Source organism: Homo sapiens, chromosome X (genome assembly GCF_000001405.40).
Source record: "Homo sapiens chromosome X, GRCh38.p14 Primary Assembly".
Lineage (NCBI taxonomy): Eukaryota > Metazoa > Chordata > Mammalia > Primates > Hominidae > Homo > Homo sapiens.
This window is the reverse complement of record NC_000023.11, coordinates 45,681,041-45,691,136: the sequence shown is the minus strand read 5'-3', so window position 1 is coordinate 45,691,136 and position 10,096 is coordinate 45,681,041. Positions and strand designations below refer to the sequence as shown.

At 41.3% G+C, this 10,096-nt stretch overlaps 1 annotated feature.

Moving 5' to 3' along the window:
• Nucleotides 8,959-9,253: a silencer, noted in NCBI's record as "tiled region #11747; HepG2 Repressive DNase matched - State 24:Quies, and K562 Repressive non-DNase unmatched - State 24:Quies". NCBI's record gives its function as "represses a minimal TATA promoter and a strong SV40 promoter by Sharpr-MPRA in HepG2 and K562 cells {active_cell/tissue: HepG2 | K562}" and the evidence as "EXISTENCE:reporter gene assay evidence [ECO:0000049][PMID:27701403]".

The following is a 10,096-nucleotide window of genomic DNA, read 5'->3' as shown; positions in this document are numbered from 1 at the left end:
ATTCTGTATCCTGAGACTTTGCTGAAGTTGCTTATCAGCTTAAGAAGCTTTTGGACTGAGTTGATGGGATTTTCTAGATATAGGATTGTGTCATCTGCAAACAGGAATAGTTTGACTTTCTCTCTTCTTATTTGAATGCCTTTATTTTTTTCTCTTGCTGGATTGTCCTGGTTAGACCTTCCAATACTATGTTGAATAGGAGTAGTGAGAGGGGGAATCTTTTCTTGTGCCGATTTTCAAGGGGAATGCTTCCAGCTTTTGCCCATTCACTGTGATATTGGCTGTGGGTTTGTTGTAAATGGCTCTTATTATTTTGAGGCATCTTTAGTCTTAGGAGGGTGTATGTGTCCAGGAATTTATCAGTTTTTTTTCTAGATTTCCTGTTTTACGTACACCTACCAGCTTAATACCATGTGGAAGCTGCCAAGGCTTACCGCTTGCGCCCTCTGAGGCAGCAGCCCAAGCTGTATCTGGGTCCCTTTAAGCTGAGGCTGGAGCTGCAGCAGAGAGGATGAAGGGAGCAGTGTCCTGAGGCTGTGCAGGGCAGCAGGACCCTGGGCCTGGCCCATATAGCCACTCTTTCCTCCTAGCAGTCTGGGACTGTGATGGGAGGAGCTACTGCAGAGGTCTCTGAAATGTCCTCAAGGCCTTTTCCCCATGGTCTTGGCTATTAGTACTTGGCTCCATTTTATTTATGCAAATTTCTCTAGCAAGTGGTTGCTCCACAAACTGCTTGAATTTCCGCTTCGGAAAAATCTTTTTATTTCTCTGCCACATGGCCAGGTTGCCAGTAAAATTTTACAAACTTTTACTTTCTGCCTCCTGTTTAAATATAAGTTCCAACTTTAAGTCATTCCTTTGCTCCTGCATATGAGCAAAGCCAGCCCACATTTTGAATGTTTTGTTGCTTAGAAATATCTTCTGCCAGATACTCTAGGTCATCACTCATAAGTTCAATCTGCTGCAGATCCCTAGGGCATGCACAGAATACAGCCAAGCTCTTTGCTAAGACTAACATGCATGACCTTTGCTCCAGTCCCAATAAGTTCCCCATTTCCATCTAAGACCTCATCAGCCTGGATTTCGTTGTCCATATCACTATCATCATTTTGGTCAAAACCATCCAACAAGTCTCTAAGGAGTTCCAAACTTTCCCTCACCTTCCTGTCTTCTTCTGCACCCTCCACACTCTTCCAACCTCTGCCTTACCCAGTTCCAAAGCTGCTTTCACATTTTAAGGTATCTTTATAACAAGACCCCACTCCTCAGTACCAACTTTCTGTGTTAGTCCATTGTGTAGCTATAAATAAATACCCAGGGCTAGGTAATTTATAAAGAAAATAAGTTTAATTGGCTCACTGTTCTGTAAGCTGTCCAGGAAGCATGGCACCAGCATCTGCTCAGGTTCTGGGGAGGACTCAGGGAGTTTTACTCATGTTGGAAGGCTAAGTTGGGGCAGGCACTTCGCATTGCAAAAACAGGAGCAAGAGCGAGAGAGTTGGTGGGAGGTGACACATTTTACAACCAGATCTCAAAGAATTCACACACTACATCAAGGAAAACACCAAGCCATGAGGTATCTGCCCACGTGACCAAAATCCCTCCCACTAGGCCCTACCTCCAACATTTGGGATTACAATTCAGCATGAGATATGGCCGAGACACAGATCCAAACCATATCATCAATTGCCCCAGTTATTCAACAGATCATGAGAAAAAGAAACAGATGGAGAAGAAAACTGTCAAGTAAGTGACTTCAGTTTTTTTAATGGGCAAGATTAAACTAGAATAAGTAAGTATGTACTCTTTGGAGACAAAACTACAAAGAAAAGCAAGTCAGGATAGTTATTTTCAGAGGAAGGAGGGGGCTAAGATTAGGGACAGGCACAAAAGAATAAAACACCTCAGAATACAGGTAACAAGGGAAGTGAAGGATCTCTTCAAGGAGAATTACAAAATGCTACTCAAAGAAATGAGAGATGACACAAACAAATGGAAAAACATCCCATGCTCATGGATAGGAAGAATCAATATCATAAAAATGACCATACTGTCCAAAGCAATTTATAGATTCAATGCAATTCCTATGAAACTACCATCGAGATTCTTCACATAACTAGAAAAAACTATTTCAAAATTTGTATGGAAACAAAGAAGAGCCTGAATAGCCCAAGCAATCCTAAGCAGAAAGAACAAAGCTGGAAACATCATGCTACTCGCCTTCAAATTATACTACAGGGTGAAAGTTACCAAAACAGCATGGTACTAGTACAAAAACAGACACATGGACCAATGGAACAGAATAGAGAACCCAGAGATAACCCCACACACTCACAACTCTCTGATCTTCAGAAAACCTGACAAAAACAAGCAATGGGAAAAGGATTCCCTATTCAGTAAATGGTGTTGGGATAAGTGGCTAGCCATATGCAGAAGATTGAAACTGGACCCCTTCTTTACACCATATACAAAAATTAACTCAAGATGGATTAAAGACTTAAATGTAAAACCCAAAACTGTAAAAATCCTGGAAGGCAACCAAGGCAATACCATCCTGGACAAAGGAACGGGCAAAGATTTCATGACAAAGACGCCAAAAACAATTGCAACAAAAGCAAAAATAGACAAATGGGAACTGATTAGACTAAAGAGCTTCTGTGCAGCAAAGGTGAGTATCAACAGAGTAAACAGACAACCTAAAGAATGGGAGAAAAAGTTTGCAAACAATGCATCTAACAAAGGTCTAATATCCAGCATCTATAAGGAACTTAAACAAATCTACAAGAAAACAAACAACCCCATAAAAAGTAGGCAAAGGACATGAACAGACACTTTTCAAAAGAGGACATACATGCAGCCAACAATCACATGATAAAAAGCTCAAGATCTCTGATCATTACAGAAATGCAAATCAAAACCACAATGAGATACCATCTCACACCAGTCAGAATGGCTATTATTAAAAAGTAAAAAAATAGCAGATGCTGGCGAGGTTGCAGATAAAAAGGAATGCTTATACACTGTTGGTGGGAGCATAAATTAGTTCAACCATTGTGGAAGACGGTGTGGCAATTCCGCAGAAACCTAAAAACAGAAATACCCTTTGACCCAGCAATCCCATTACTGAGTATCTACCCAAAGAAATGTAAATCATTCTATTATAAAGACACACGCACACATATGTTCATTGCAGCACTATTCAGAATAGCAAAGGCATGGAATCAACCTAAATGCCCATTAATGATAGACTGGATAAAGAAAATGTGGTACATGTACACCATGGAATACTATGCAGCCATTAAAAAGTACAGGATTATGTTCTTTGCAGGAACAGTGATGGAGCTGGAGACCTTAGCAAACTAACACAGGAACAGAAAAGAAAATACCGCATATTGTCGCTTATAAGTGGGAGCTAAATGATGAGAACACATAGACACATAGAGAGGAACAACACACACTGGGGTCAGTTGGAGAGTGGAGGGCTGGAAAAGGAAGAGGATCAGGAAAAATAACTAATGGGCACTAGGCTTAATACCTGGGTGATGAAATAATCTGTACTATAATCCTGCATGACTCAAGTTTACCTATATAACAAACGAGCACATGTACCCCTGCACTTAAAATAAAAGTTAAAAAAAGATTGAGGGCGAGGCCGGGCGCGGTGGCTCACGCAGGTAATCCCAGCACTTTGGGGGGCCGAGGCGGGTGGATCAAGAGGTCAGGAGTCCTAGACCAGCCTCGCCAAAATGGTGAAACCCTGTCTCTACTAAAAATACAAAAACCAAGTGGGCGTGGTGGCGGGCACCTGTAATCCCAGCTACTCGGGAGGCTGCGGCAGAGAATTCCTTGAGCCCACGAGGTGGAGGTTGCAGTGAGCCGAGATTGCGCCACTGCACTCCAGCCTGGGCAACAGAGTGAGACTCCATCTCAAAAAAAAAAAAAAAAAAAAGATTGGGGGCATGGAACATTGAGAGCCTTCTAGGTTGGCTGGTAAAATTTTGTTTCTTGACCTGGGTGATGGTTACTAGGGAACAATCCTATTGCATTGTGGGGTTTTCTGTATCTATGTTTTATTTTGTAATAAAAAGGGTTGTAAAACCCAGCCAGCTGGTATTATAGACAAAACAAAATAGTTAACTATTTGGGAATATGTTCCATGTGAAAAGACTCACTTTATGGAAATGAAGATGCCTAAATATATATATATATATTTTTTTTTGTGGACCTAGGTCTGCCTTTTCCTATGAGGTAGATGGGAGGAAAATAGCATTGAAAATAGTGGAGAGGAGTAAGTGGAAACTACTCAGGCCAGCAGAATCTTCCAGTTTAGTGCACTATGCAAACTACTGACAAGGCTAGATGGAGCAAAGAATCTCAGCTTAGTTTTTTAGTATATGCAACTAGATAATAAATATGAAGACTTCAGAGGATTAGATATAGTAAATCATGAAGGCCAGAAAAACTTTTGGGGTTGTTTTTCACCTTTGAGCAGGAAAATGTTGAACTTTTGGGCTTTTTCTTTAATATATAGAAAGCATGCATATTTAACTATCCCATCTAACAGCAGCTTAAGCAAACTGGAGCCTTAGGAAGGGGACACTGAAGCTGGAGGAGGGAGAGACAGCATGAAGAAGGGCAGTGTGTCAGTCGTTAAAGGCAGTCTGGAAGGGTGTATGTTTTCTTGGTTCCAGTTGCCATATCATTAGTTAGCGATGAGTACTTTTTGTGGCTCCCCACTCAACACCCACTTTGGGAATGCTGATTTGCCTCTGTGGCATAGAAGCTTTGGACATTTATCTGACTTTTTGTGTTGCCCAGCTGGTTCAAGACAGGTGGGTGCCTTGGTCTGATAGGCTCTAAAGGTGTAATGTCCAAAGGCAGAGGGAGACCCTCCCATCTTGCTGGACCCACATTGCTTAGCACAGTCCAGATACATCACAGAACCTAAGAGTCTGTCAGTCTGAAATGATTGCCCTTCACACTGGCCTCATTTCCACTTTCCAAAGAAGTTGACTCTTCTGGAAATATTGTCTAAATTGTGCTTACAGAATCATGCCATATAATTCATGCCCTAAAATCATCTTGGTTCTGTAGCAAAAGGGTAATAACTAAGTATTTAATAATATGAATAAAAGAAAAAATGGAAATTGCCAATTCGAAATATGATGCACACTTACATGTGTGTATATCAGTTTTTTTTCTGAAAGTACAAGAATAAATGCTTTAATAATTATAGCTAATGTTTAATTAAAGGCCAATATTTGGCCAGGCAATGTGTAGAACATTTTATGTATACTAATCCATTTATTCCTCATCACAGCTTTATGAGAAAGGGACTATTATTTTCCATACTTCACAGGTAAAGAACTGAGACATAGAGAGGATACATCAGAGTCCAAGCTCACACAGACTCCTTTCTTATTCCTTCTTGTTCTTCATATTCTTCTCTATATGGCAGCCCGAGCAATTTTTCTAAAAACAGAACAAAAATGATCGGTGCCTTCCCACTGGTTTTAGGGTAATGTGCAAATGCCATACAATGGCTGAAGACCTTTACATCATCTGAAGTAGGCTTCTGCCTCCCTCTCAACAGCAACTTTCAACCATCCCTGCTACCTCGCTCTCTGTCTCCTCAAGCCACCTCATTCACTTCCTTCAACATGTTATTTCCTACCACACCTCCATGTCTTCTCAAGTGCTGATCTCTCTTTTGGGAACACTTTTTCTGTATCTCTGCCTATCTGACACAACTTTAAAAAAAATCCTCTTTATTATCTGCCTACAACCACATGCTCAGTTAGGATTTTGTGGCATGAGCTCCACTAACACCCTGTCTTCCTATCACAGCACACCTGCTGCCCTTCAGTTGGTGTGACTGCTTCTTTTATTATGTGTGTTTCCTGCTAGGCTGTAAGCTCCACGAGTCAAAGACCATGACTATCTTAGATCACTGTCCCCCAATACAGAGTCCCGTGATTAGCAAGTAGTAGACACTAAATAAATATGTGTTGTATCAATATTATGCATGCCTGAGATTCAGCTTATTGTTGTCAATGAGTTTTTGAAAGTTAATCCAGAGATATAAGTTTGTGATGCAATCATATAACAAGAGTTTAATTATTTCAAACCTACAGCACAAATCCTGTACATGCAAGGCTAAGATAGACCACCTTGGGAATCATGGGCTATGGTGGAAAGAGTTGGGATAGAGATATAAATAAGGAAATATAATATGAAGTAAAATGAAATAATCACTACGATTTTCTTCCGTGCATGGATGAGGGCAGGTAGGAGTGGGAAATCATGTACATCAGAATGGTGACATAAGAATTGAACATTAAGGAGTGGAGAGGATTTGGGTAGTAACAAGGTGGTGAGAATAGCAATCTGGAGAGCAGGAATAGCATAAACTAAGGCTTGGGAACAAGAAAAGGCATAACTTGCTCAGGGACAAGTGGAAGTCTTCATAAACTGAAATGCAACAATATTTTGGCTTTTTACTTAGCGCACCACAAAGCAAGAATCAAAGATGCAGATGAAGTGTCATTAAATGTGCACAGGTACTCATTGTAGATGCCACTTCTAGGTGAAATGCAACAAGTGGTTTCTGGTATTCTCAAAATCAGTCCTGATTTCAGCAGGGAAAACACCTGTGTTATTTCTAGCATGCTTCTCTATAAAAGGGATAACCTGAAAAAGGAACTTGAGCAATTTCCTTGGTGTAATGGATTTCTTTATTCCAAAAGACGTGTGACTATCAGACAATCTTAGCCCAATACCACGCAATCCTGGACTTGTCAACCTCCTTTGTCTGGAGTCTATATTTCCCTTTGGCTGTGGTTTGGCCACCAGTGGAGGGCTCCCTGCAGGAGTAGAATATGCTATTCAGTGGGATTCAAGAATTTCCATCCCTGTGATTCTGATTTTCAAAAGCACATTAATAAATCTCATCTTTGGATACACTGGGTTGATGAGAGGCTGCTCTGTAGAGACAGGTCCACCCTTGATGGACTGCTGAGTCAGGTTTATGAACTGCCAAGGGTGAGATTCAGTCCTCAGGCATTGCCTGTCATCTAAAGCATTAAGTGGAGGCACACTGGTATCATGGCTACGAGTGCAGGCTCTAGAGCTAGTAGCACAGCTCCACTACTATGGTACTAACTTCTCTGTGTCTCAGTTTCCTCATTTATAAAAAGGAGATAATAATAGAATCTACCACATAAGGTTGTTGTGATAATTAAATGAGTTAATAAAACTAAAATCCTTAAAAGAGTGCTTGGCACCCAGAAAGTACTTGATGAGTATAAGCTATTTGTTTTGTTCAGTTAATAGAGACAATCTGGTTAATAACAACTCTTGTAATTATCAGAACCATTCTTTAAGGTGATTATGAATAATTTCTGCTACTTATGAATTTTTCTCTACCCAGGATACGGAAAACCAAGGTTCACAGCAAGAAAAGAACAATTATGACCCATCTTCCTGGGGGCAATTTCACCTGAAGTTTTAAGGCAATAATAAACATGTTGAGATTAACATAAACAGACTGTGTTTAGACTGAAATGCAAATTTTGCACAAATATTTACTATAAAGCATAAAATTTTAAATAAATTTCTTGCTTACAGCATACCTCTCCAGGACTCATCTGCCATAACAGAGGAAAAAAAGGCAAAGTCAAGTCTGATCCAGTTGGTTGAATATCTGAGGCATTTGAAGGTTTGGTCCACTCTATAGTAGGGAGCGTCCTATACTCCTCCTGTCAAGTCCCATGTGGTTGATTAAAAATGGCCACAAAGTTTTGACCCTTGTGTTATTGAGAAGTGAGTCTATGTCTCATCTGCTAAATTTGGGATGGATTGTGATTACTTTGACCAATAGAATATGGCAGAAGTGATGCCCTGCCACTTCAGACCTAGCCTTTATGAGGATTGGCAGTTTTTGCTTCCTTCCTCCTGAAGCCCTGAGCTAGCCTTTCAAAAGTCTGGCTACCCTGAGGTTGCCATGCTGTGAGGGAGCCCAGGCTAGCCACATGGAGAGTTCATGTGACAGAAAAGAGAGAAGCAGACAGAGACTGAGACAGAGACACAGCCAGCCTCTAGCCATTCTGTCCCCCAGCAGTACATGTCATCTAAGCCGGGGACCCAGACTTCGTGGAGCAGAGATGAGCTTCCCTTCTTTGCCTTGTCTGGATTTCTGACCCAGCTTGAGAAATATACTAATACTAATAATAAATTGTTATTTTAAGACTCTAAGTTTGGGGCAGTTTGTTAAGCAGTAGTGTATAACTGGAACAACTAGTGATGATATCTAAGAAATGGAGAGATCCAATGGAAGTGAAGGTGGGGAGAGAAGGACTGAATGTTGTTCTTAAGGGGAAGGGACCCTGGTAGTGTGAGCAACTGGGTGGGGTTTAGAGTTGGTTCCAGAGACTCAAAAACACACCAGAAGAAGTCAGATCACACAGGCCAGGCAACCACATTATGGGGTCAAGGGAGGTTGGCTGACTCTGAGGATAGAGGTGGAGGATGGAGTTGGAGGTGACATGGGCCCCCATAAGTTCCCCTTGGACTTGCTGGAAAGCTGACTGGCAGCACAAACAGATTCCAGCTATCAGTGCCAACCTTGGTTCTCATTGGCCCATGGACTAAAAGGCAGGTCTCCACTACCCAAAGTTGGAAGGGTTTGAGTGGATAGACAGAGGGACGTCTATTAGAGTGGGAAATGGAAGGGTGGTTTCTTGGGACAAGAGAGGGCTGCGGACATTACTCTGCACTACACGGAGAAAAGGAAGGAGACTAATGGTTCCAAATGCAGGCATGAAGAGGGGTGGTTCTCCAGCCTGTTATTTAGGCTGTCTGCAACCTGGCACCCACCTGCCTTTCCTACATTGTTATCTAGGGCTTTTCTTCATGCATGCTGTGTTCTGTGTATATGACACCCACTTCTTTACTTCAATGTATTCACTAAAAATGGAATGTTTTTTCCCTTGCATCACATGCCTGGACCTTGGCCTCCTACAAAGTGTCCTTGAAATGCCATGCAAAGATTGTCTCTGATCCCTCAGTGTGGAGGTAACCGCAACACTCTGAATACTAGGTGTGTTGTCTTCACACTGCACAGTGATGAAAGTCTTGCTTCATCCTCCCTCATAGCTCAGGAACTTAGAAGAAGACCTCCATCTGACTTCTGAGACTGCCCAATGCTATGACCCTCACAGCAACCCAATATTGAATGTGCCCTTAATATATTTCATTGCTTTCAATATATTTCATTGTGTCAATAATTAGAAGTACATCCGAATATTTATAAAGACTCTGATATTACTTAAAATGGAAATATTTTAGAACTCAAGTAGCTTTTACATGGCCATATATCTAGTAAGGATAGTTCCAGGATCCAAACTCAGGGGATGGGGTTCCAGGGCCAGTTGTCTGGAACTCCACCCTGTTCTGCATAGTAAGAGCTTATTGTCTATCCAGAAATTATCTTACTCTGTGACTGTAGGTGATTGAGTTAGTTAAACCAATTAAAATCAGCCATGTAAATTATAAGCTGTAACTAATTAAAATAAACTTTGTTTGTTTTTCGGGCTGGGTGTGGTTGTTCACACCTGTAATCCCAGCACTTTGGGAGGCCAAGGTGGAGGACTGCTCGAGCTCAGGAGCTCAAGACTAGCCTGGGAAGCATAGAAGGACCTGATCTCTACAAAAACATTTAAAAATTAGCCAAGTGAGGTGGCATGTGCCTGTAGTCCCAGCCACTCAGAAGACTGAAGTGGGAGGACCACTTGATTCCAGGAGTTCTAGGCTCCAGTGAGCCATGATTGTGTCACTGTACTCCAGCCTGGGCAACAGAGCAAGACTCTGTTTCTAAAAATAAGAATTTAAAAAATAATTTGTTTGTCAATTATATGCAAGGTTAGTGAGATGTCTCTGCCCTCAAAGATAGTATACTCTAATGTGCTTATAGAATCTCACACTGGATAGCAGTTGTAATGTCATGTGAAACAATTTATCTGAGTCAACCTGTTTTACTCCAGCTATTAATAGCTTGTTAGTCACTGAAAGTAGGCTATATCAGTTTTTTCTCTTTGGG